The 26,135-nt window shown below is 51.7% G+C and overlaps 2 protein-coding genes across 3 annotated transcripts in view, besides 4 other annotated features; both read right to left on the bottom strand.

The window, feature by feature from the left end:
• Positions 1,987-2,954: an enhancer, noted in NCBI's record as "H3K27ac-H3K4me1 hESC enhancer chr2:220150891-220151858 (GRCh37/hg19 assembly coordinates)". NCBI's record gives its function as "activates a minimal SCP1, AML or CMV promoter by ChIP-STARR-seq in primed H9 embryonic stem cells {active_cell/tissue: H9 hESC(primed)}" and the evidence as "EXISTENCE:reporter gene assay evidence [ECO:0000049][PMID:30033119]".
• Positions 2,228-9,757, bottom strand: DNAJB2 (DnaJ heat shock protein family (Hsp40) member B2). Of its 2 annotated transcripts, NM_001039550.2 has the most exons (10): positions 9,605-9,757; positions 9,225-9,325; positions 8,436-8,545; positions 7,352-7,405; positions 7,062-7,184; positions 6,194-6,286; positions 5,888-5,990; positions 5,634-5,704; positions 4,288-4,491; positions 2,228-3,136 (listed from the first exon to the last, which is right to left on the bottom strand). In NM_001039550.2, the coding sequence occupies exons 2-10, from the start codon at positions 9,287-9,289 to the stop codon at positions 3,126-3,128; spliced, it is 834 nt and encodes a 277-aa protein (NP_001034639.1). In that variant the 5' UTR covers positions 9,290-9,325; positions 9,605-9,757; the 3' UTR covers positions 2,228-3,125. The 2 variants fall into 2 exon arrangements, with proteins under 2 accessions (NP_001034639.1, NP_006727.2); NM_006736.6 differs by having other exon boundaries at positions 2,228-4,491.
• Positions 9,433-9,912: a silencer, noted in NCBI's record as "silent region_12352". NCBI's record gives its function as "represses an Ori minimal core promoter by ATAC-STARR-seq in GM12878 lymphoblastoid cells {active_cell/tissue: GM12878}" and the evidence as "EXISTENCE:reporter gene assay evidence [ECO:0000049][PMID:35858748]".
• Positions 10,933-11,637: an enhancer, noted in NCBI's record as "H3K27ac-H3K4me1 hESC enhancer chr2:220142208-220142912 (GRCh37/hg19 assembly coordinates)". NCBI's record gives its function as "activates a minimal SCP1, AML or CMV promoter by ChIP-STARR-seq in primed H9 embryonic stem cells {active_cell/tissue: H9 hESC(primed)}" and the evidence as "EXISTENCE:reporter gene assay evidence [ECO:0000049][PMID:30033119]".
• Positions 11,154-11,356: a silencer, noted in NCBI's record as "fragment chr2:220142489-220142691 (GRCh37/hg19 assembly coordinates)". NCBI's record gives its function as "represses an EF-1alpha promoter that drives an FKBP-Casp9 reporter gene in an ReSE screen in phorbol 12-myristate 13-acetate-treated (for megakaryocytic differentiation) K562 erythroleukemia cells {active_cell/tissue: K562(+PMA)}" and the evidence as "EXISTENCE:reporter gene assay evidence [ECO:0000049][PMID:32094911]".
• The window catches only part of TUBA4B (tubulin alpha 4b), an 18,955-nt gene continuing 9,745 nt past the window's right edge, over positions 16,926-26,135 (bottom strand). Inside the window, exons 2-4 of the mRNA NM_001355221.1 lie at positions 22,557-22,602; positions 18,788-18,921; positions 16,926-17,957 (exon numbers count right to left, since the gene is read on the bottom strand). Coding sequence (NP_001342150.1) covers positions 17,424-17,957; positions 18,788-18,921; positions 22,557-22,602 — 714 coding nt within the window. The 3' untranslated portion in view covers positions 16,926-17,423. The remainder of the gene's footprint in view (positions 17,958-18,787; positions 18,922-22,556; positions 22,603-26,135) is intronic.

Raw genomic sequence — 26,135 nt, 5'->3', positions numbered from 1 at the left:
GCCTGGCCAACATGGCAAAACCCTGTCTCTACTAAAAATACAAAAAAATTAGCCATGTGTAGTGGCGGGTACCTGTAATCCCAGCTACTTGGGAGTCTGAGGCAGGAGAATCACTTGAACCCGGAAGGTGGAGTTTGCAGTGAGCCGAGAGTGTGCCGCTGCACTCCAGCCTGGGTGACAGAGTGAGACCCTGTCTCAAAAAAAAAAAAAAAAAAGATTGTAAGGTGGAGTTAGAGTTTGCACCTGGCTGACTAACCTCCTCTCTACTACCTCTCCTCTCAATTCTTTTTTTGTTTTTGGGGTTTTTTTGGAGACAGAGTCTTGCTCTGTCACCCAGGCTGGAGTGCAGTGGCGCGATCTCGGCTCACTGCAACCTCTGCCTCCTGGGCTCCAGCGATTTCCCTGCCTCAGCCGCCTGAGTAGCTAGGATTACAGGCACCCACCACCAAGCCCGGCTAATTTTTTATATTTTTAGTAGAGACGGGGTTTCGCCATGTTGCCCAGGCTGGTCTGGACTCCTGAGCTTCAGACAATCTGCCCGCCTTGGCCTCCCAAAGTGCTGGGATTACAGGCGTGAGCCACCGCGCCTAGCCTCCTCTCAGTTCTTGGCAGCTGCTTTGTGCCCTTCTGCTGCCAGATTGAGGTGAGGCCTGAACAAAGTGATATTAGCAAAGTGTCTGCCACACCTTAGGCAAAACTATAGCAAAACTCTGCCAGTGAGTCTAGGCTAGGCCTGTGAGATGCTAGGACAGGCGTTCCCCTGGGGATAAAGGACACTTTCTGTCTCACCCCAGCTCCCAGAACCCTCCACCCTGTATAGTCCCAGAAGGCACACTCACCTGCATGTCAGGAGGTGTCCTTGGACAAATGGGGTGGACATGAAATAAGGCAAAAAGAGCCTTAGGCCTGGGGCTACTTGGAAGTTAGGGCTACTTACCTGTGCTGAGACTCAGTCTCCTTAATTAAAAAACAGGGCAAGCACCATCTGCCCTGAGCAGGAGTGAAGGGACCCGCCAGCAGACCACAGGCCCTCCCGCTGTCTCACCCACGCTCTGCTGAGGCTCAGTGTCAGTGATAGCCATCTCAAGGGCTAGACAGACGTAGAAGAAACAGCCATTTGCAAACTTCCACCCGACTCAGGATGGAGGTTTGAAATTCCTCTTTCAGGGTAGGCTGCTTCTTCACTTTGAGAAAAATATAGTAGAGGCCCTTTGGTGATTGACGGTGAAGCAAGAGCCTGTCCTGGAATAGAAGAGAGGCCTGGGGAGCCACCTGGCCCTGCCTGACAACGGAAAGGTGCTTGTCCCAGCACAGCGGCTAGAGATGAAAGGGAAGGGGTACCTGGCTTTTTCTTCCGTGGGCCCTGATGAGTTTGGGGCCTGGGCCCTGGGTGGGCTGGACTCATGCCACACCACATGCCACTGGCTCACACCTCGGGCTGAGCCAATGAAACCTACCCAGGGGCTTAGTCTGTGGGCCTCATGCAGGTACAGTTTAAAGGTTTCACTGTGTGTTCTCAGCTTTCTGTGCTTTCAGTCTTTTTTTTTTTTTCTTTCTTTCTTTGTGACAGTCTCACTCTGTTGCCCAGGTTAGAGTGCAGTGGCTTGATCTTGGCTCACTGCAGCCTCCGCCTCCCAGGTTCAAGTGATTCTCCTGCCTTAGCGTCCCGAGTAGCTGGGATTATAGGCATGTAGACATGCACCACCACCACATCCAGCTTTTTGTGTTTTTGTTGTTTTTTGGGGGGTTTTTTTTTTGGTATTTTTTTAAGTAGAGATGGGGTTTTGCCACGTTGGCCAGGCTGGTCTCAAACTTCTGGCCTCAAGTGATCTGCCCGCCTCAGCCTCCCAAAGTGCTAAGATTATAGGCGTGAGCCACCGCGCCCAGCCTCAGTTAAGTCTTAACTTGAGTATGGTCCTAGCTGTGCTGTGGAGTACTAGGGGGTGAGGCCACTCATAAGGGGAACATCGGCTGCTAGGGAAAGCCAGTTGTAGGCCCCCAAGAGGTGAAAGCAAAGAATGAAGCATTGCTTGGGGTTCCATAACATACCTGGGGAGGGCAGCCTGGTCAAAGAGGGCATTTCTGCCTTCAACTGGCAAGGCCTGCACCTCTAGCTGTAGGGGCATAAAGGGAGGTGTGAGGCCTGAGGTGTCACCCACTGTCCCTTAGAGGCCCTCCTGGGCCACCCCGGAAAGTAGGAACCCAAGAACACAACACACCACCAAGCTCTCAAAACTCAGTTTTATTGACTTCCAGCATTTCCCCCTGGATCTGAGCTCAGCCCAGCTGGTTTTGGTTCGTCTCTGAGGCTCAGTGTTACAGCGACTGGCTCCACCACTCCCCTCCCTGGCCACTGGGCTCCCCAGGCAGGGAGGAGGAGAGGCAGTTCATCTGTGATGTTGGAAAGAATGGGCAGCAGGGTCAGAGGCCAAAGAAAGCCATACAAGCAGCGGCATGCCTGGAGCTGCCATCACATGCCAAGCCCCACCACACACACGCCCCCGCGGGTGGCCTTGCCCTCGAAGCTCTCTGCCAGCCCACACTCCTCAGCTTTCTGGGGCCACACCCTGCTCAGGCAGACATGCCACTCGCCCTGGCTTGTTCCTGGGACCCCAGGCTGCCCAAGGGAAAGGTACCGCTCCCAGGTGCTGCGCGGCTCTGCCCTGCCCACTCTAACCCTGGGGCTAGCAAGACGTGTCAGGGGAACCAAGGCTCAGATCATTCCCCCTTCATCTACAACCCTGCCAGCCCTACAGGGATAAATCAAAAGACAAAATCTCCCCATCTCACAGCGAGTGACAAGCCGACCTGGGCTACTACATGTCCCAAGATGCACAGCTCCGTAACCATACACCACCTCCCCCAAGCGGGATCTATCAGAAATGAGGCCGGGCACACCGCACTCTGGGATTTGTAGTCCCCAGGAGCCAGCACCAAACACCCAAGGAAGAGAGTGCACAGGCTAAGACTACTGCCACCTCCCACCCGGCCCCCACCCGCCACCCAGGCCCCGGCTCTACACTCAGCATGGGTGAGGGGGAGAAATGGAGGGTCCCCTCCCAGCGCATGGGGGAAGGCGCTGTCCTGTTGGAACTGTGCAGCGATTCTGGAACCCGGCATCCAGCTCAGAACACATCTGGGGAGAGAGCAGGGGCGGGGTGACAGGAGAGAGCGTCAGCGGCAAGCTGTGGAGGATGGGGCTCAGCATGCAGACCTGGGCTGGCCGCATGGCCTCTCCCTGAGCCCTGATTTGTGGTAGGGAAGCAGTATGGGTGCAGTCCCCTCCTAGGCCTCCCTCTGGGGTCCCCCGGTCCTATCCCACCTCTTCAGGGTGAGCCAGCCTCACCTCTGCCTAGTCCTGAGGGTGAGGGCAGGCTGAGGCAACGAGAGGGAGGAGGAGTGGGCTCCAGTTCTGAATCTGGACAGCTGAGAGGCTCCCGCCCCACCCGGCTAGCCTCCCCAGAAGATCTCACAGCCCTACCGGCCCCAGCATCTTCCTCGCCACATTGAGGCCTTCTCGGGGAAGGAAGGAAGAAGGGAGTCCTAGCCAGACGGCAGTGAAAGCAAGCGATGCGGCCCGCAGGGAGTTGCAGAGAGAATGGGAGGGAGGAGAAGCAACACCAGAAGAGAAGCAACAGAGACGGTCAGAGCGCAACATGGCACAGAAACCAGGGTTGGGGGTCTGCAGCTGGTCCAGGAGAGCAGGAGGCTCCACTCTGCCTGCACTGCTCTCCAGTGGAGCTGCCGGCTCCGGCTCAGACAACCCTAGGCCAAGTCCTCCTTCCTTGACACCATCAGCAACACAGGTGGCAGAGTACCAGGGCACAAAAGGCCCAGCCCAAACCACTAATGCCCCTTGGAGCTCCCCATCCAATAAATGCAACCTGGCTCCTCGGGCCCCTCCACTGCCCTGACACCCCCCACCCTGGGCTTCACCAGGGACCTATCAGCCCTGGGCTGAGCACAGCAAATCCCAAGTCCACACTGGGGTGTGGGGGGCCTGGGAGGGAAACTTGTGGAGGGAGCTTGGAGTTGGAAAGCAGTTCCTACAACTCAGGATACTCCCCTCTTCTCTTCCCACAGTGAGTCAGACCCCCCAGTCAAGATCTGGATCAGATCAGGTTGGGCCCGGTGTTCAGAGGATGAGGCAGCGAGAGGCCTTCTCCTCTGGGGATGGACTGCGTTTGGTTGCTTCACCCCTCGCACCCTCCTGGGTCCCCCCCAAGCCTGGATCTTGGTGCTGGGCCTTGGGCCGCCCCTGCCGTCGGTGCTGTGCCTCCCGCCCACCTGCGGGTTTCTTCCCAGCTGCCTCCATCTCTGACAGGCTGTAGGCCATGGCCAGCTGCAGGTCCTCATCCTCAGAGAGGTCGCTGTCCAAGGGGCATGAGGCAGGGGTCTGCTGGACCTGAGTGCCCCCAGACCTGGAAGTGACTGACGGCTGCTGCTCGCGACGGCTCAGCTCCAAGCCCAGTGCCAGGTCATCTGGGACACCTGCAAGAGTCACAGCCACCATGAGGCCCCAACCTGAGCCAGGGGTATTACTGCCAGGCTGCCTCACACAGTAACAACCCTGACCACTTAGAGTCTCTTATTTGGAATTGGCACACATGCATTTTGGCACCTAGGCTTGTGATTTTGAGCACAAGGAAGTATTCAGCTCTACCAGGTAGAAGCTCCTACCCTTAGGCAAGTCACTCAACATCCCTACCCCTCCCTTTCCTCATCTAGAAAGTGGGAATGATGGCCGGGCACAGTGGCTCATGCCTGTAATCCCAACACTTTGGGAGGCCGAGGTAGAAGGATCACTTGAGCCTAGAAGTTCGAGACTAGCCTAGGCAACATAGTGAGACCCCATCTCTACAAAATAGTTTAAAAATTAGCTGGGCATGGTAGCACACGCCTGTAGTCCCAGCTACACAGGGGGCTGAAGTGGGAGGACTGCTTGAGCCGAGGAGGTCGAGGCTGTAGTGAGCCATAATCGTGCTGGGCTGAGCACGACCCTGTTTCAAAAAAAGAAAAAAAAGAAAATGGGAATGATGATAGTGCCTTCATACTCAAATTGTTCCAATGATTAAATATGTCAGCCCATGTAAAGGGCTTGGTACGCAGTGCTGGGAGTCAGCAGGCGTGAAAGGTTAGCTGTGGTGACGGCCCTGCACAGCATGGTGTTGCAGGGGCAGTTCTGCTCCGGGAATCGTGCGTCCTGAGTTTGACTCCTGGCTCTACTCCTTACTTGGAAGGAAAGAGTCTTGGGCCTGGGCTACTTGGAAGTTAGGGTCATTTAACTATGCTGCAGCTCAGGCTCCCCAAATTAAAACTAAGTGGATACCATCTGCCCTGTGTACTCCCCCAGATGCTTGAAGAATACAGAGGATATCGTATATCTGGAAGTGCTTTAAAAATAGTAAAGTGCTTTGCAAATGTAAGGCACCCCACTCACAGTGACGGCGATGGCTTCGTGAGACTCCTTCACCCCCTTCCCGACATTGCCATCTCTGATCCTACCAGTCTGGCCTGTTGCCACTCCCTCCCAAGCCCTAAGTGAGTTCAGAGAGCAGCAGTTTGGGGAGGAGGCTGCTGAGGTTGGGGCTGGGGCTTCCTGCCAGGGGCTGGGTAGGGGAGCTGCTCCTCACCATTGATTGTGACTGACTTCAGCTGCCCATCCTCCTCCACTTCCACCCGCTCCTGCCCGTTCTCCATGATTCTGTGGGAGACAGCACAGTTCAGGCAACGAGCAGTGACAGAATCCTGCAGGCGCTGGTCCCAGTTCTGGCCACCGCAGTAGAGAGCGCAGACTGGGCCCTGCCCTCAAGGAGCCAACTTTCTATTTGAACACAGCTCCCCAGCAGACCTCTCACCCCTCTATGGCCCCAGAAGGAGCTCTCACCTGCGTGTGGTGATGCGGCGTCCTTGGACAAAGGTGGTAGATGTAGAAACAGAGCGAAAAGCACCAGCCCCAGGACTGAAGGAGAAAGATGAGGAGGAGAAATCTGGCATCGGGACAAGGGAGGAGGAGGAGAGGTGGTTAGAAGAAGACTGCGCTGCCTGTTGTGGTCACCGAGGCTCCAGGCCGCCTCGCAGGGCTGCTGGAGGCAGGGCTCCCAACACAGGAGACAGGCTTGGAAAAGCAACAAGCTCAAGCCAGGGGTTCCAGGAATCGGAGCTTGCAAACGTGGGAAGGGGCAGAACTTACCGGAGTGCCCAGGGAAGGAGGAAGAGAAGGTAAAGAAGGGGCCTGAGTGTCGGGAACCCCGGTTCTGAAGCTCTGAGAAGGGGCCCAGGTCATCTGCAACAAGTAAACAGATTAGCAGTCATCTGGTAATGACATTTCCCCTCAAAAGTGTGTGAGCCCAAGTCTGGAAGTATAAACCACTAAGCAACTGGGTAGGGTTTTTCTTTTCCGCTTTTTAGTTGGGCTTATTTATAAATTCCTTTTTAATGTTGAATTCGAAAACACTCACTGGTTAATTCTGTCCACAATAAAGAATAAAGGAAGGAAGGAGGGGGAAGAGGGATGGAGGACAGATGGCTCTTTCAGTACAGGCAAATCATCATGACGCGATGACAGGCAGACACAGCTAGGAGTCCAGCTCTGCCATGTGTTATGTGACTCTGGGCTATTAACTGTGCCTCAGTTTTCTCATCTGCAAATGGGGAGAAAATTGCCCACCTGTCAGGATTCACTAGAGACTTACGAAATGTAAAATATTTGGCACATATCTATCATTAAAAAATACCACTATCTGTTTTATAGGTAATAATAACAATATTGTCACAAGATGCTTTGAGTCTTGCTTTCATGGCTGTTACTATAGAAGTCTAACAATGTATTATTGTTGTAATTTAATAAGGTGAGTCTGTGAAGTGTCACTGTTGGATTACGGGGGTTCTGGCACACGTGAGGTTCTGTCCCGGCTCTCACTGGACCCAGCTCCACAAAATCTTCTGTCCGTGGCATTCCCGTCCCCTCTCAGCCTTCCACCTCAGGGCCTCCCAGCTGATGGAAGGACAGGCCTGGAGGGGGAAGTTGAGCCATTCAGAGGCTTCCAGAGTCCACTCACCAAAGAGCTCTGCAAAAGGGTCTCCACTCCCAAAGAATTCCCGGAAGACCTCCTCGGGGCTGCGGAAGGTGAAGGTGAAGCCAGGCCCACCACTGCCAGCTTCTGCCCGAGATGGGCCAGTTCCTGGAAAGGCAGGATGAGGAGAGAGCTTAGGGCATGCATCCTGCCCTGAGCGGGGGACCTCACCTAAGGCACAGCCAGGAGCCTGAGAGAGCCTCCATTGCAAGAATCTGCCCTGCCCCTCTCCTCCCTGCCCCACCTCCATTCCTGGGCCTCACCACTCCACCTACCTGTCCCTGTCAGCCCTTCCCGGCCATAGCGGTCGTAAATCTCCCGCTTGTGCTCTGCAAAAAGAGACCAGATCATTTCACCCTCCCTCTGGGATGGGCTCCCCTCCCAGGCTAGGACGTTCAAAGGATTGTCCAGAGACTGACACTCTGACACTTGGCGGGGGAAAGCAGGCACAGCAGGGGACCCAGGGGACACGGGCTATAGGTTTAGGCAGCAACTCAGCCTTTCACACAGCTGGCCTCTTCTCATCTGGAAAATGGCTGTCATCACAACACCTACCGCACAGGGTTGTTGCACAGATCAAATGAGACCATCCACGTAAACTGCCTACCAGTGCCTGACACATAGAAAGTGTTCAATAAATGTTAGCTAATGATTACTACATTATTATTCACCAGGGCTTAGCCTAAATGTCACCTTCTCGGAGAGGCCTTCTACAACCACCAGAACTAAAGCAAGTGCACATTATTCCCTAGCACTCCACCTGCCCTGTTTCTTCCCTCGGAATACTCTTCACAAGCTGTAACTGTGTCTGTGTGTGTGCCTGGTAGGTGTTGGTCTTCCCTGCCCCTCTGGGCAAAGACAGTGCCTGCTTGTCCTCCAGTTTCCCCAGCACCCAGCGAGTGCCGGACACTGTCACCATTCACTGAATTACTTTTCGAATGAATCAATAAAAAGGCAGACCTGGATTCATATTCCAGCTCTGCGTGGCCTTGAGCAAGTTACTTCACCTCTCTCAGCCTCAGTTTCCTTGCCTGTAAAATAGGGGTGATAGAACCTGCCTCATAGGACGGCTGTGAGAACTCATGGAGATGACACCCACCAATGCCTGGCACGCAGGAGGCTCAGCTCACATGAGTTACCTGCCCTGCTTCCTTCCCCTTTCAGGTCTCATGCCAGCCACTCCTACCAGACTCTGGGGAGCAGACACTGAGCTGTCCCTGTGGGAGGGGGGAGCTTAAATGTCAGGCTGGAAAAAGGCACAGAGGAAACTAGGTGGCAGAGACATTGCTTTAAGAAAATGTGAGCTGGGGCATGAAGTAGGGGGTGATGTGCTGGGTCCTGCCTGACCCCGGCCCTTACTGTCAGACAGCACTTCATATGCCTCGGCCACCTCCTTAAATTTCTTCTCAGCAAACTCTTTATTATCTGGGTTTTTGTCTGGGTGCCACTGGAGAGCCTTGCGCCGATACCTGCAGAAAGTGGGTGCAGAGGAGAGAGTCGGGGGACAAATGCAGGCACTTCCCACCCAGGAACCGAACGACCTGTTTTCCCATTAGCCTATCACTGTCCTTTCACCCCCGGGTCCCAGTCCACCCCAGCTGCTAGGGCTGCCGCTGCTGTGATATTTTCATCAAGTTCCACCCTCTCTCCTCCGCCACCAGTGCTGGGACCACATGTACAAGCGGATACAATGCCAGGGTCCCTAGCCCCTCCCTAGGGCTCACTGGACTGGGGCTGCAAAGGTTGGGGCACATGTGGCCTCGAAGAGTACAGGGACACCGGCCCCTCCTCCTCATAGAGCCTCTTTGCACTGCATCTTTGCACTGCAGCCTGAGAATGCCCAAATCTAGGGGGAAGGGGGAGGGGAGGGGAAAGGAGGAGGAGGAGGAGGAGGAGGGGAAGATCAACTGGAGAACAACCCATAACACAGTGCAGCTCCCAGAGGAACTAACTACTTCACTCTCTGGACGTTCTCCTTGTACTCTACCAGGGGTCTCTTTCCTCCCTGCAGGTGTCACTCGGAAGAAGCACCCCAGTGCTTTCTAACGACCTGGTTCCCTCAGACACCTACAGGTGTCACTCTGAAGTGCCCCATGGTGGTGGCGGGTGGAGGGTGAGAGGTCTTCTGTTGCATACGGAGGCACTTACGCCTTCTTGATGTCATCAGCGGACGCACTTCGCGGCACGTCTAGGATCTCGTAGTAGGATGCCATGGCAACTGGTCAGTCGTCAGGCGGGCCTCCTTGGGGCTGCAGAAGAGAAGGAGTCAGGCGGAAAGAACCAAGAGCCCCACCCTGTGGCTGCAGCAGTCCCCCTCCCCGGGTGGCGGAAGGCGCTCCCAGTTGGAAGCGGAGCACACCGGGCTCTGCTTGCGGCCGGTGACTAGGCTCCCTCCGGCAGCCTTATCTGCCCCCGCAGGCCGGGGCCAAGAGCTATCTCGACGCCCAGGCCCAGGAGCCCTATCGGGGCCCCCCAACTCCAGCAGTCCGATCCAGGGCCCCCAGCCTGACCCGGGCCCCCGGCCGCACCTCCTCCGCCAGGAGTCCCGGCCTCCTGCGGCGCCCCGCCCCTGCCCCCCGCCGGGAACCGTCTGGCACCCGCAGCCCGGCTCGCGGCTGCTGCGTAGGACGCGCCCGGCCCAGCTGTGCGCGCAGGCATGCGTCAGCGGTGCGGAAACTACTAGAGACGGGGAGAAGGCCGGCTCCGCCTGTCCCCTGGGGGGGTGGGGGCCTGCAGGGGCTGCCGGGAGAAGAGGGCGGAGCCGGCTATTTTGGGCACACACCAGGACGACGTCAGCCCCAGCTGGGACCTGGGAGACTGCGGCCCCGCCTCCATCCAAGCGAGAAGCGCTCGCACGGAGGCTGGGGCAGCCCACAAACAAGCCGCTCGGCCCCCAGGTTCCTCTGTCACTTTCTTATAAACATGAGCGATGATCCATGCTTACTCACCCACCTCGAGGACTCAGACTCTTCCCTCCCTCCCCCCACCACGGTTCTAACTCCTCCCCCTTCTTCAGCTCCCAGCTCCAGCCCCAGGTCCCCCAGCAGGCTGCCCTGGCTTTCCTGAGTAGGTCAGAACTGCCTTTTACAGCATCTCGTGGCATTTCCTTCATCAGGCTTGTTAGAGCCACAAATTAGCATTTATTGGTTTGATTATTTTTTATTACCATTCACCTCCCCCACTAGAATGTCGATTTCACAGGACAGGAATTGTGTGTTTTTTCTCACTGGTCTATTAGAGCAGTCGTAGGGGTTCAAAACTACCCGTGGGATGAATAAATAATGAACACCTGCAAACCTCTTGTTGACAGTTTTGACACATTTGGGGGAGGTGAGGTAAAGGGGGCCGTACAACGGAATTCCCCAGGTTCAAGTCTTCCCAAACTGATCCTGAGTAGGCCTATTCCACTTCAAAATGCTCCCTGGGTTCAGGCCTCATTGGAGAGTTAGGAAACCTTCCAGAACTGGCTCCTGCTTGATCCCATCCAGGCCAATCCAAAGGCGTTAGCTGAGCATTTTTCTGCATTCAAGATGCTGCCAGGCCGTATAAAGAAGAATGTGGCCCAAGCCCTGCCTTTGCAGAGCTTGAACTTGATAAGATACCAGCCCATCAGTGTAGCCCGCTGGGAAACCCGAGGCTTTGGAAACAGAGTACAACCTGGCATTACTGTGAGACTTGGGAAAATCTCTGAGCACTCTTTTTTTCTCACTAAATATAGGTAGTGCCTAGGGTTGTTTGAAAGTCAAATGAGACATGGTACGAATTAGGTGTTACTGCGGTCCTGCTGGCATCGTGATTGGCTCAAGCAATAATGGTTATGTGAGTCCAGAAAAGTGCTTTAGGCTGGGGGACCCAGGAATACTTCGCCAACGAGAAGGGTTTGAGGCGGACGTGAGAGAAGAAGGTGGTGTGAGTGTCCTGGTTTCCTGGCTGCCCACCATCAGAACCTCCTGCCTACATTTGGGGAATTCCCATCGCAAGGGCCCTAATGGAAAGCAGGCCACCATTTGCCACAAAGCCCCAATGCTTGCTCTCCCTGACTCGGCTCTGGGGTTGCAGGCAGAAGACATGAGCTCCGCCAATCGGATGCTCCAACTGGGACTTTGAATCTGGAGCAAGTCACGGAATAGCAAGGCTGGTTTAGGAATTCATTTCTGCGGCGGCGGTGGAGGCGATGGGGCCAACAGCGGCCTCTAGTGTCTGGAGGAGGAAGTGTCAGCGCTACTGCCGCAGGTGAGGGACGAGAGTAGGAGGATCACTGCGGAGGGTGGAGGGGACAGGAGTCTCCTACACAGGCTGTCCTGTGCCCAACCTTGACTGTGGTACTGGCTGCCCAGCTTCCCTAGGTGCCTGTCTGATTGCTGACCCTTGTTTGCTGGCCCTTGCATTGATTCTGTGTGCTATCCGATATCTCTATAATTGTTGGGGGCAGGGGACTTGAAACAATTTGCCAGTTAGCTTCTGCTGTTTATAAGAGTCCTGACTGACACAAAGACTAAGGGTTAGACTTGGTATAAGAGGAAGGAGTGGTTGGGTTAAGTCACTCCAAATTTTCCAGATCTCTGCCTTTTTCTTCTTACTCTGCTGTGCCAACAGACATTTGTCTAGCACCTACCGTGTATGTCTTGTTATATTAAGAAAAAGAATATAAAAAAGTTTAAATTCCAATCTCTGTGCTCAAGGGGATAGGACATAGACAAATGACAACTGAGGGAAATTATATGGAGCACATCTAGCAGACAAAGGTTTAATTTCCTTTGTCCACAAAGAAATGCCAACTAATGAAAGACAATGACATTTTTAAATGGACAAAGGGACAGGCAGCTCACAGAAGAGGAAATACTGGCTTTTAAACAAATGAAAAGATGCTCAATCTCATTCACAAAAAAACTGTAAACTAAAGCTACGACAGGCCAGGCATGGTGGCTCATGCCTGTAATCCCAGCACTTTGGGAGGCCAAGGCGGGTAGATCACCTGAGGTCAGGAGTTTCAGATCAGCCTGGCCAATATGGTGAAACCCTGTCTCTACCAAAAATACAAAAAGTAGCCAGGCGTGGTGGCACATGCCTGTAATCCCAGCTACTCGGCAGGCTGAGACGGGAAAATCACTTGAACCCGGGAGGCGGAGGTTGCAGTGAGCCAAGATCGTGCCATTGCACTCCAGCCTGGGCAACAAGAGTGAAACTCCATCTCAAATAATAATAATTTTTAAAAGAATAATAATAATAAAGCTACAACAAAATACTTTGGGGTTTTGTTTTTTGAGATGGAGTCTTGCTCTGTCATCCAGGCTCCAGTGCAGTGGCACTATCTTGGCTCACTGCAACCTCCCAGGTTCAAGCAATTCCCCTGCCTCAGCCTCCCAAGTAGCTGGGATTACAGGCATGTGCCACCACCCCTGGCTAATTTTTGTATTTTTTGTAGAGATGGGGTTTCACCATGTTGGCCAGACTGGTCTCAAACTCCTGGCCTCAGATGATCCTCCTGCCTCAGCCTCCCAAAGTGCTGGGACTATAGGCCAGAGCCACTGCACCCGGGCACATGGCCCTAACAAAATACTTTGTTTCACTTATTGGATGATTGACAAAGACAAAAAAAAGAAAAAAGTTGAATACATTGTATGGGCAAGGCTGAGGGCACAGGCATTCTTATAGATTGGTAGTGGGAGGGTGGGTAATTTGATGTGACTTTTTTTTTTTTTTTTTTTTTGAGGCAGAGTTTCACTCTTATTGCCCAGGCTGGAGTGCAATGGTGCAATCTTGGCTCACGGCAACCTCTGCCTCCCGGGTTCAAGCAGTTCTCCTGCCTCAGCCTCCCAAGTAGCTGGGATTGCAGGCGTGAGCCGCCGTGCCCGGCCTGGTGTGACTTTTAAAGAGAGCAAGATTTAAAATGCATAATCTTTGACCCAGAAATCTCAATTCTAAGAATGTATGGTCATATATATGTGCAAAAAAAATACATACAAGGGTTGCAGCATTCTTTTTAATAGCAAAAGATTGGAAACAATCTAAATACCCGTTAATAGCAGACTGGTAAAACAAGTGTTGGTATGCTATACGATGGAATATTATATTGTGACCAAATAGAATGAGGCATAGCTAACAGTATTCATATGGACCATCTTCCAGATTTATTATTAACTGAAAAAACAAGGTGTAGAACAAAGTGTATACTAAATGTGCATACAAGCATGGTAGTACAGATGGAGCATCCCTACTCCAAAAACCCAAAATGTGAAATGTTCAAAAATTCAAAACTTTTTGAGTACCTGACATGATGCCACAAGTGGAAAATTCCATACCTGACCTTATATACACAAACTGTTTCATGCACAAAATTATTTAAAACATAGGCTGGGCTCAATGGCTCAGGCCTATAATCCCAGCACTTTGGGAGGCCGAGGCGGGAGGATCACCTGAAGTCTGGAGGATCACCTGAGGTCAGGAGTTTGAGACCAGCCTGGCCAACATGGTGAAACCCTGTCTCTACTAAAAATACAAAAATTAGCTGGCATGGTGGTAGGCACGTGTAATCCCAGCTACCTGGGAGGCTGAGGCAGGAGAATCACTTGAACTTGGAAGGTGGAGGTGCAGTAAGCCAAGATCACGCTATTGCACTCCAGCCTGGGCAACAATAGTGAAACTCCATCTCAAAAAACAAAACAAAACAAAACAAAACAAAAAAATTATTTAAAACATTATACAACATTCCCTTCATGCAATGTGTATCAGGTGTATATGAAACATAAGTAAATTTCGTATTTAGACTTGGGTTTCAGCCCCAAGATATTTCATTATGTATATGCGAATATTTCAAAATCTGAAAAAATCTGAAATCCTAAACACTTCTGTTCCCAAGCATTTCCGATAAGGGATATTCAACCTATATATATGTAGACATCTCTGGAAGGAAACACTAACAAAAACATTAACAGTGGTGGCTGCCAAGAGGGGAACAAAATGAAAGAGACTTATTTTTCTTGTTCCTAAATCTCTCTGATACTTTTTGAATTCTGAAGCATATGCACCTAATAACTGTTCAAATTCATACTAATTGTTAAAAATTGAGTTGGGGAAATAAGACATTGACAAGAAGCCAAGTGATATCATACAAGGCAGCCCACACCAAGTGCCAAATGAAAAATAGAGACCGAGGTAGGTGCTGAAAGAATTCAGAAGAGGGAGAGCTCCCTGGGGCTGGGTAGGTTCTGGATGGCTGTGACCTAAGCTGGAAGGAATGGCAACATTGAGACAAGCAGGGGGAGGTGGCGTTCCAGAAGGAGAGAATGGTGACAACACAGCTTTGAAGCCAGGCGTGTTCCTGACACATCAGAGCCCAGGGAATAAATTTGTTGGGTAGAATCTGAGCTTGGAAACCTGTCTCTTTTGTCTGCCTGAAGGAGGCAATTGTACTTTGGCTCAGAATCATCAGGGATGAAAGCATTTCCCCTGCACTGAGGGAGTCCCCAGGAGCCAGGCTGGGTGGTGCTCCTAGCTGCCTCAGGAGGTCTGGGTTGCCACCTCTCCACAGCCATACCCAGTCCAACCCAGGCCTGCCAGGGCCTGCCAGCAGAGTATTACTAGCAGGAAGACCTCAGGGAGATGGCTATATAGCTGCCCAGGGTGGGCTGGCTGGTTCAGCAGACAGGAAGGGAGACGAGCTGCCTCTCTCGATCCCTAGCCGTCTTGGCAGGTGAAGAGCTCACCTCCCTCCCCACCCCCAATCCTGGCCTCTCCCAGGCCCTCACCACCTCCTAGGAGATGTTGGGGGATGTTTTCCAAAGGGCACTGATAGCCCCAAAATCTGGCCCCAAAGAAGCCTCTACCCCCATTCAGACCCAGAAGCTGGGACTCTCCCCTCTACATCGATGCCCTCCTTCCCAGAGCCTGGGCAGGGCATTGTGAAGCGTCACCCACTCCCTGCCCCTGAGGCACCTGAGTCACTGTCTGGGCACTCGGGACCTGGCAGGCTGAGAAGAGGTGGTGTCTGGAGGGCTGCCTGGAACCACTGTGAGCAGGAAGTGAGGGCACCTAAGAAAAAGGTGGGGGAGCAACATATGATTTGGTGCAGGCTAACCTGGGTTTGAATCCCAACTCCTCCATTTACCACCTTGGGCGAGTCTTTGAGTCTCAGTCTCCACATCTATAAAATAGGTGTTCATTGAACAAGTTCATCCAACAAGTGTTAATCATCTAATATGCCGGGCAACACTGGGGTGTTGAGAGTAGAACAATGAAAAACAGTCCAAGGCCTGTCTGAGAGCTTCTGTTCCAGTGGGTGTAATAACTGTATTAACCTCAGAATTAAACAAGATCTTATGGATACAGGACCTAGCACATAGTAGATGCTCACTAAATGATGGCTATTTCTTGGGGTGTGAAGGGCTCCCAGAGTAACACCTTTTCCCTTCCCAAGTTTGAAACCAGTTGATGGAAAGACGCATAAGTCAAATATATGGAGATTTAAAAGTCAGCCCTTTTAGCAAGGCATGGTGGCTCATGCTTGTAATCTCAACACTTTGGGAGGCCAAGGTGGGAGAATTACTTGAGCCCAGGAGTTCGAGACCAGCCAGGGCAACATGGTGAGATCCTGTCCTTACAAAAATATTATTGTATTGTATTTTTTTATTTATTTATGTTTATTTTTTTGAGATGGAGTCTGGCTCTGTCACCTAGGCTGGAGTACAGTGGCACTATCTCAGCTCACTGCAAATTCTGCCTCCTGGTCTCAAGCGATTCTCCTGCCTCACTCAGTCTCAGGATTTAAAATTTGCCATTTGTTTGGAAGTGGGGGTGGGAAGCTGTGTGTGCATGATGCCACAGGACTGTTAAAAGGTCAACTGTCTTTATCAAAAAGTGGTGAGTGTCAGGGCTGGGCATGGTAACTCACCCCTGTAATCCCAGCACTTTGGGAGGCTGAGGCTGGTGGATCACCCAAGGTCAGGAGTTGGAGACCAGCCTGACCAACATGGTGAAACCCTGTCTCGACTAAAAACATAAAATTAGCCAGGCCTGGTGGTGCATGCCTGTAATCTCAGCTACTTGGGAGGCTGAGGCAGGAGAATAGCTTGAACCCAGGAGGCGGGGGTTGCAGTGAGCCGAGATCGTGCCATTGCACTCCAGCCTGGACAACAAGAGCAAAACTCCATCAAAAAAAAAAAAAAAAAAGTGGTGAGTGTTGACAGAGATTACTGGGAGGTAAGCCTCCTACCCTTACAAGCCATTCTCCCTGTGTGGCAGCCACTGCACCACTCTTCTGCCTCAACCAACTCCAGTGTCAGGGCTCTCTATTACCCCAACCTCCTGCCTGGAGAAGACAAGCCTCCAGATCGCAGGATGGGCTAGTGGGCACTAGATTACTTTAAGGATCACTTCGGATCCTCCTGGCCTCACCGGGCTCTTGTTGCAGCTCCATGTGGGGTTCCACTGACTTCACATATGTGCAACTTAATAGCACCTCCTCCTCGCCCAGGGTTTCCTGATGACTCTACAGCCCAAGTGTGTGCAATCCACCAGTGCAGGGGAATTAATGCTTGATGGGGCAAAAGTTTAACTAGTGGAAGAATAGAGCCAGTGCATAAACCCCACCCCCAGCCCTCACCTGCCCACTCACCCAAGGATGGTTCTGAGATGCCATTTATTCAGCTGCATTTTCTCTAGGGTGAATTTTTCCTCCTTCTGTGCCTTACTTCCCTTGGCCCCCATTCTATTTGCTGTAATTGCACTCTATAATGAAATCTAAAATCAGATCTGCTTTCTGGGGAATAGAGGCTAAGACACCAGCGTTCCTATCTCTCATGGAGAAGAAGCCCTCCCCCCATGGTTTTCCCCCAGAGAAAAAGACATTCGTGAGACAATAAGGCCACAGCACTTTATGTAGGACAGACACACAGTATTCCCCTAGTATTCATCCCCCCTATCTTTTCTTCCCCCCACTCCACACTATCCATGCCCACCTCCTTGTAATCCTTCTCCAGGGCAGTCATATCCTCATGGGCCTTGGAGAACTCACCCTCCTCCATGCCCTCACCCACATATCAGTGCCCAAACGCCCTCTTGGCATACATCAGGTCAAACTTGTGGTCCAGGCGGGCCCAGGCCATAGTGATGGCTGTCATGTTGCTCAGCATGCACATGGCACGTTGCACTTTACCAGGTCACTCCCAGGCACCACAGTGGGAGGCTGGTGATTGATATCAACCTTAAAGCCTGTGGGGCACCAGTCCACAAACTGAATGCTGCACTTGGTCTTGATGGCAGCAATGGCAGCGTTGACATCCTTGGGCACCACATCTCCATGGTATAGCAGGCAGCAGGCCATGTACTTGCCGTGCCGGGGATCACACTTCACCATCTGGTTGGCAGGCTCAAAGCAGGCATTGGTAATCTCTGCCACCAACAGCTGCTCGTGGTATACCTTTTCTGCAGAGATGACTGGTGCATAGGTGGCCAGGGGGAAGTGGATGTGAGGTAGGACACCAGGTTGGTCTGGAACTCTGTCAGGTCCACATTGAGGGCCCCGTCAAAGCGCAGAGAAGCTGTGATGGAGGAGACAATTTGGCTAATGAGGCGATTGAGGTTGGTGTAGGTTGGGCGCTCGATGTCTAGGTTGCAGTGGCAGATGTCATAGATTGCTTTGTTGTCCACCATGAAGGCACAGTCTGAGTGCTCCAGGGTGGTGTGGGTGGTCAGGATAGAGTTGTAGGGCTGGACCATGGCTGTAGACACCTGGGGGGCTGGGTAGATGGAGAATCCCAGCTTGGATTTCTTGCCATAGTTAACAGAAAGCCACTCCATCAGGAATGAGGTGACGTCAGAGCCAGTGCCCCGACCAAGGCTGTGGAACACCAGGAAGCCCTGAAGTCCTGTGCACTGGTCAGCCTAGACAGGGAAGGGGAGGGGAAATGTGGGGCATGGAGCACAGCTGATGGACAGGAAAGAACCAACTTGTGCTGTTTTAAATTCCCAAAAGTTTCATGAACTCCTTGGAAGACTTTTCCAAGAGCACAAAAGAGATCCTCATAGAGTGGGTCCAGGGCCCACCCTTTCTCCTCCCTGTCCCTCTTCCTCTGAAATCTCCTGAGGCCCTTAACACAGAGCTCTGTTGTATGCTGGAAAAGAGGGGTATGATGGTGGGTGGAGTTGGCTGTCTAGGCTGACCAGTGCACAGGACTCCAGGGCTCCCTCATCTTGTCGTCATAACTTGCCAACTCCACCCACCATCACACCCATGCCCCGCTGATTTAACTTTGGATGTTTCTAGAGGGTTTCTCTACTAAGAACAACAATCCAGGAACCTCATCCCCATCCTTCGTAGAAGCCAAAGCCAATCACAGAGGCTTTGGGCTGACATTCTTTGAATCCCTGCCTTTCACAGGGACTTCTGCCCACATCCTTGTAACACAAGGTGGTATTCTGGGAACGCTTATGGAACCCCACAGCTTGGCCAGGCAGCCCATCAACATGTTTGCCTTAATGGACACCCTGCCTAGCATCAGGCCAGCCACTTCGGAGATACAGGGGACACCAGCTCCAGGCTGGAACCTACAGTTGGCCCCCCGATCAGAGTGCAGGGCCTCTCCTCATTGGTCCTGATCCTGTGTGTTTCTCCCAGAGGCTGAAGCTGTCCTTCCCCAATCTGGTGTCCAGACTACCTCACAACAGGAATCCAGATTCATTCCCCCTGCCCCAGCCCTCAGTCCTTTCCTCACCAGCTTCCGAATCCGGTCCAGTAGCAGGTCGATGAACTCCTTCCCAATGGTGTAGTGGCCCCAGGCATAGTTATTGGCAGCATCTTCCTTGCCTGTGATGAGCTGCTCTGGATGGAAGATCTGGCGGTATGTGCCTGTTCAAAGTTCATCTGCAGTGGGCAGAGTTTTGGGCCCCACCTCCCTTTGCAATCCAGCTGCTGGAGCCCCAGGGGACCTGAAGGGAGTGGGGTCACCGGGTCCCAGGTTCTGCATTCAGGCTGCTGCTATTACCTGCTTGGATGTGTTTGTGCTGCTTGGATGTGTTTTTCAATAAGGAAAGGGATGTGGAGTGGCCTACAGACTCAGGAGCTGAGTAACAGTGATTCTGTACATGTGGAGTTCTAATTGGCTGCAGCACCTGGGAAGCTATACCACAGACACCATGCTCTGCAGTTATGGAGTAGGACTTGCTGTGGTACCCAGGGACAAGGTTGTGGCTGGGACTGATCATCACAGCGGGCTCCAGATCCACAAACACCGCCTGGGGCACATGTTTCCCAGCCCCAGTTTCACTAAAAAAGGTGTTGAAGGAGTCATCCCCCTCCCCTGATGGTCTTGTCACTGGGCATCTGCCCATCAGACTGAATCCTATGTTCCAGGCAGTAGAGCTCCCAGCAGGCATTGCCAACTGCACACCGGCCTGCCCCACGTGGACTGAGATGCACTCACACTGAGTGGGCAAAGGGCAGAGAACGGCCTTCACAGAGGGAAACATATCATGCCTGGACATGGTTCCTGCCTGCCTTCCTTGAGTGGCTCTTTGGCTGAGGGCCAAGGTTCCTGGACTCTACTCTGCTTGCCTCGCCTCCTGCATCTAAGCATTTACTGGTGGCACTGAGGAGCAACAGGCATCGGCTGTAGGGGCTGGGCCAAAATCATTGGGGGAAGCAGAAGATGCGGGCAGTCCTGAGATTATAGACTCTTGCTCAGTGCCTGTCTCAATGAGCAACATTGAAGGAATCGAATGAATCTAGAAGTGCAAGATAATCTACCCACCAGTGTCCAGAAAGAAATTAGGAGCCATTGGTGAGGGAAGCAAGGGAAAATAGTACAAAGATAAAGCACAGGAGACATTAACTCCAAATTTGGAATAATGGTGCTCTCTGGCAGGGGAAGCAGATAGATGCAATTGGAGACAGATTCTATTTCTCAAGCTTGATAGCTGCTGTTCATCACATTATTCTTTTCTTTTTTTCTTGAGACAGAATCTCACTTTGTCACCCAGGCTAGAGTACAGTGATGTGATCATAGTTAACTACAGCAGTCTTGGACTCCTGGGCTCAAGGGATCCTCCTGTCTCAGCCTCCCGAGTAGCTGGGACTACAGGCATGCACCACCATGCCTGGCTAAGTTTTAAATTTTTTTGTAGAGACAGGTCTCGCCATCTTTCCCAAGTGGGTCTTAAACTCCTGGGGTCAAGCAGTCTACCTGCCTTGGCTTCCCAAAGTACTGGGATTACAGGCATGAGCCACCGCCGCCCAGCCTATCATGTTATTATTTATACCTTTTTGCATTCCTGAAATATTTCTTAATTGTTTAATGAGGATGACTTCTCCAAAAATGTAACACTTCATTGACTATTTTTATATAACACAAAGGCCTGACTTTTCATGATTTTTAGATGACTGAGATTAATCCATAAATAATCTGTATTCCAGCCCAATTACTTCTCTACTTGTCTTGAGCAAAAATCTTAACCTCTTTGTCAATGTTCTCCTTTTGAAATGTAGACAATAATAAGAGCCCCTCCTAGAAAAACTATGAGAATTAAATGAAAGAATGCATGCAAAGTGCCTGGCCCACTGCCTAACACACACTAGGGTGTGCCATGCATGTTGGGTTCCCCTTCCAATTTCCCACCCTCAATCCCTGATGTCATAGTAAGAGAAGGTAATGAATTGAGGCTGGGCGCAGTGGCTCAAGCCTGTAATCCCAGCACTTTGGGAGGCCAAGGCAGGTGGATCACTTGAGGTCAGGAGCTCGAGACCATCCTGACCAACATGGTGAAACCCCCTCTCCACTAAAAATACAAAAATGGTGTATGCTTATAATCCCAGCTACTCGGGAGGCTGAGGCAGGAGAATTGCTTGAACCCAGAAGGTGGAGGTTGCAGTGAGCCGAGATTGCATCACTGCACTCCAGCCAGGGCAACAGAGTGAGACTCCATCTCAAAAAAAAAAAAAAAAAAAAAGATAATGAGTTGAGCTGAGACCTCAAGGACAGGAGAAATCCCAGGTCCAATCCTGGGGCTGCCTTGGCTCACCAATCACCTGCCTGGTGCTGCACCTCTGAGCCTGACCAGCCAGTTCTGTCCACAGACCCAGACATCGTCCTGGCCCCCAGAACTACTAGCCCATGCAAGGTGTCTCTGGCCCCTCTGGGAATGATGTCTCACACTGGAGGCAGCAGTTTTGGGGCAAAGAACTCAGCCCCTGGCCGGGTGCAGTGGCTCACGCCTGTAATCCCAACACTTTAGGAGGCCGAGGTGGGCAGATCACAAGGTCAGGCGATTGAGACCATCCTGGCCAACATAGTGAAACCTTGTCTCTACTCAAAATACAAAAATTAGCCAGATGTGGTGGCAAGCGCCTGTAGTCCCAGCTACTTGGGTGGCTGAGGCAGGAGAATCGCTTGAACCCGGGAGGCAGAGGTTGCAGTGAGCCGAGATTGCGCCACTGCACTCCAGAATGAGACTCCGTCTCAAAAAAAAAAAAACAAAAAAAAGAACTCAGCCTCTGGAGTCACACAGACCTGGCCTCAAACCCCCATCTCTCTGTGATCCAATACAAGTCATTTCACCTCAGCTTCCCTAGCACCTTTTTCATGACTGTAGAAAGAGAAGAATCTCATAGCCGGCGGCCTGTGTTGTTACATTGCTTAGTTCTGCTTATTAAGCACTAATAAGGTGCCAGGTGAAGGTGGCACTTTATACACATTATCTCATTTAATCTTTACCACATTCACCTTAGGTAGGTAGTTTTATTACCCCCAATTTATAGATGAGGAAACCGACCCTCAGAGAAGTCAAGTAGCTTGCTCAAGGCCATGAGCAAAACCAAGAATATTTAGAGCAGGGATGGCCTGGCACCAACCATGCTCTTAACTGTTCTTCTATCCTGCCTGGTAGGGAGGTGGGTAAAAGATATCAAATAAGCCCCAGGCACAGCCAGCTCTTGACAGATGGGAGCACCCCCTTTTCCCTCCTCCTTCTTCTCCCCACTGATCTGTAACTGACATGAGAGGTCAGACAAAGGCACAGCAGATGGGCAGGGTGGAGGGAGGAACCAGAGGGGAGAAGCTTCCATGGAGGATGTGTCCCCATGGTGGGAAGGTGGGATCAGAGCCCAACAGTGAACCTGTGGCAAGGCCCAGGGTCTGGAGATCCTCAGCCAGCAGAGGAAATCGCCTACACTTTCTGCTCAAGTCCTGCTTCCCCCACACTCCCCACACCTAAATTCAGACCCCCTCAGCAGCCCTGCTTCTCAGCCTAGGCTCAGCCCCACAACCTGGTTACCATTAAACTTTCCTTCCCTACCCCCTGTGATGCCCCCCACACCTGCACATTTGGGGGCCACAGCCACATCTGGAAGTCTCTTTCCCTCTCCCCACCTCGCCACATACTGTAGCCCCATCACCATGTGGACTCCCAAGGTACCTTCACGCCAGATATCTTGGGCCCACTGGGACCCTCACTTGCATGCTCAGTCCCCCCAAGGCCCCTTCTACTCACCATGCTGCCTGGACAGGGGCTGGCTGGGGTCTTGTCTCTCTGTCTGCTGCAGGATAGTGAGCAGGGATAGATCTGTGAGAGGCCTGCAGCGGCCAGCCAGCCTCCTCCTTATACTCGCTGGGTGGCTCTCAGCAGGTGGATGTTGTTAGAAACGGCCTGGGAGGGCAGGGCCTGTTGACTTGGTCACAGAGTACGAGGCAAGCTCTGGGCCTGCACCCAAACAGGGGAGCCAGCTGAGGTGGGCAGAGGAGGGGCCAGGGCTAGTAACTCCACACAGGTATCCAGGCCTCTGGGTACATGGTATCTGTTGTCAGTCACGCAATCCCATTTCCTGGTGGCACAGCCTGCACTTCACAGGTGGAAGATGATTTAGAAATCAAGACCCTGAGCTCCAGCACCGCCCCCACCCATCAAACCCCTGCACTCCCCTGCCCTAGGGTTGCTGAGGGCTGTAAGTCGACTGTGGGTGGGACTAAGAAGATCTCTGCAATGATCCAGAAATAATGAGTCCTCGGCCAAGAGATCAAGCCTCAGGACATCCTGCCTGGAAACTCAGAATATCATAGAACAAGCGACCTAGAGCTTGGTTTTAATCCCACCTCTAATAGCTACTAGCAATTAAAACTTCTTTTTTTTTCTCTCTCTGGAGAATGGGGAGAGGTAGTATTACGAGGTACTAACAAGGTAACCTTTCTTAAGTGCTTAGTCCAAAACAGCTGTTGCTCTCCAAGGGCAAAGCAAGAGGATGAGCAGGGCCTCAAGGCACTTCCTAAATGTCTCTTCCTAGGCCATGGCAAGTCACTGCTGCTCTAGCCTGGCCTTATGTCCCCAGAAAAGGAGTCTCCCGATAGTCTTAGGCAAAATTCTGAAATAAAAAGGCTAGTCTCTAGCATTTGTATCCTGCTTTATGCATCTTTTTTTTTTTCTTTTGAGAAGGAGTCTTGCTCTGTTGCCCAGGCTGGAGTGCAGTGGTGCAATCTCAGCTCACTGCAACCTCCACCTCCGGGGTTCGAGCGATTCTCCTGCCTCAGCCTCCTGAGTAGCTGGGATTACAGACACCTGCCACCAGGCCTGGCTAATTTTTATATTTTTAGTAGAGACACGGTTTCACCATGTTGGCCAGGCTGGTCTCAAACTCCTGGCCTCAGATGATCCACCTGCCTCAGCCTCCCAAAGTGCTGGGATTACAGGCATGAGCCCCTGCGCCTAGTCTGCTTTATGCTTAAGGCACCTTCTCTCCGTACCTCCTTTGAATCCCTCAACAACTCTGTAAGGTAGGCAAGGCAGGGCCTCCCTTTCCCAGGATGAAGGAAAGGAAATTGAAATCCCTAGTGTCCTGCCTGAGGTCACATGGGGATTAATTAATGCTGGAATTAAGATTTATCTGGGACTCGGGCTCTGCTTCCCCTCTTTCCACATGGCAGAGTGTGCACAGCAGCCCCTCCTCGGTCTTTATCTCCTTCCTCCCAGTCTTCAGTTCCATGGCCAGCCAGGGTCACTCCCTTTTGTACCCCTCAACTGTCTTGCCTCCCACTAGCTTCAACATCCTTGTTTGACTAAACCAGAACCCTGGTTAAATTTGTTTTGTCCCCAGCTCTGTGTCTGCACTCACCCAGCTAAACAGTGGCCATAGAAAAATCCAGAACCATGCTGACTGATGTTTCGAACGCATGGCCACTAGCCTCAAATGGGCCCTCATGTTGCCTGGAAATCACACCACAGTAGCCCCCCATTAGCCACTTTCTGCAGTTTCAGTTGCCTGCAGCCAACCACAGTCTGAAAATATTAAAGAGAAGGTTCCAGAAAAACACAATGTATACGTTTTAAACTGCACGCCATTCTGAGTAGTGTGATGAAATCTAGTGCCATCCTACTCCATCATGTCTAGAACATCCCTGTGTGCAGCGTATCCACACTGTTGACACTACCTACCCATTAGCCACTGAGTAGCCGGATCCCTTATCAGATCGACTGTGGCGATGCTTCTGCTCATGTAACCCTTATTCTACCTCATAACAGCCCCACCGCTCAAGAGCAGTGATGCTGGCATATTACTATCATTGCTTTATTTCTCTATATCATTATTGTTCTTTTTTTTTTTTTTTTTGAGACAGGGCCTCACTCTGTCACCCAGGCTGGAGTGCAGTGGCATGATCTCAGCTCACTGCAACCTCTGCCTCTTGGGTTCAAGCAATTCTCCCACCTCAGCCTCCTGAGTAGCTTGGATTACAGGCACATGCCACCACGCCTGGCTAATTTTTGTATTTTTATTAGAGATGGTGTTTCACCATGTTGGCCAAGCTGGTCTCGAACTCCTGACCTCAAGTGATCTGCCTGCCTTGACTTCCCAAAGTTCTGGGATTACAGGCATGAGCCACTGCACCTGGCCTATTGTTGTTCTTAACCTCTTACTGTGCCTAATTTATGAATTAAACTTGGTCATATGTATGCATGTATAGGAAAAAACAGTACATAAGGTTCAGTACTATCCGCCATTTCAGGCATCCGCTGGGGGCCCTACAACATATCTTTGTAAGTAAGGGGGGACTGTTGTACAGTTCAGTCCCTCTTCCAGATAGCAGCCAAAACCAGGACTAGGTCTGCCAGATTTAGCAAATAAAAGTATTTTATTTAGCAACCCTATCCAGGAAGTAGTTGCTAATGTGAAATTTCAGCCACTGTGTTACATAGTGCAGTTGAAACAGGGGACTTTTTCAGAGACCCTGTCAACCCAGTAAGCTAGGGAATGATCTCAAGTTGGTTAACTCTGGCTTTGGCTACAGACTGAAGGTTAGAACTCTTCTGTCTCCCACCTGGAACAAAGAGGCCCAAAGAAGAGACCCAGCCACTTAACATATCAAAGATAAGAAAGCTCAGCCTTCTACTGGGTTGGCCCATGAAACCATGGACCTCAGGAATTATTGTCCAGATGGAGTGATATGGGGCCCAGAGGGCCCACTGGGCTCAAAACTCTCTTGTGTAGCACTGAAACTTCTCCCAACTGGCCTTGGGAGTTGGACTCTCAGAGTCAACCTAGGTATCACCAACTCCAAAAAGAAAACTATCCTAATGGCAGTCAGCTGTCTTATGTAAAGCAGAATGAAAAGACTGAGTTTTGTGATCTTGGCTCACTGTAACCTCCTCCTCCTGGGTTCAGGCAATTCTCCTGCCTCAGCCTCCCGAGTACCTAGGACTACAGGCATGCACCAACACACCCCGCTAATTTTTGTGTTTTTAGTAGAGACAGTGTTTCACCATGTTCGCCAGGCTGGTTTCAAACTCCTGACCTCAGATGATCCATCTGCCTTGGCCTCCCAAAGTGTTGGGATTATAGGTGTGAGGCACTGTGCCCGGCCAAGACTGAGATTTTTAAAGCATTTTAATGCATCTAGATTAAAACATAAGAGGCCATGAATACTCTTAATTTCTTCAACAAATATTGAGTGCTTGCTGTATGCCAAGCACCATTTCAGGTGCCAGGGATACAGTGATAAACACAAAAGTTTATGCTTTTTTGGGGGGTGGGGAATGGAGTTTTGCTCTTGTTGCCCAGGCTGGGGTGCAGTGGTGCTATCTCGG

This window comes from Homo sapiens, chromosome 2 (assembly GCF_000001405.40).
Source record: "Homo sapiens chromosome 2, GRCh38.p14 Primary Assembly".
NCBI classification, from domain to species: domain Eukaryota; kingdom Metazoa; phylum Chordata; class Mammalia; order Primates; family Hominidae; genus Homo; species Homo sapiens.
This window is presented reverse-complemented; position numbering and strand designations above follow the sequence as displayed.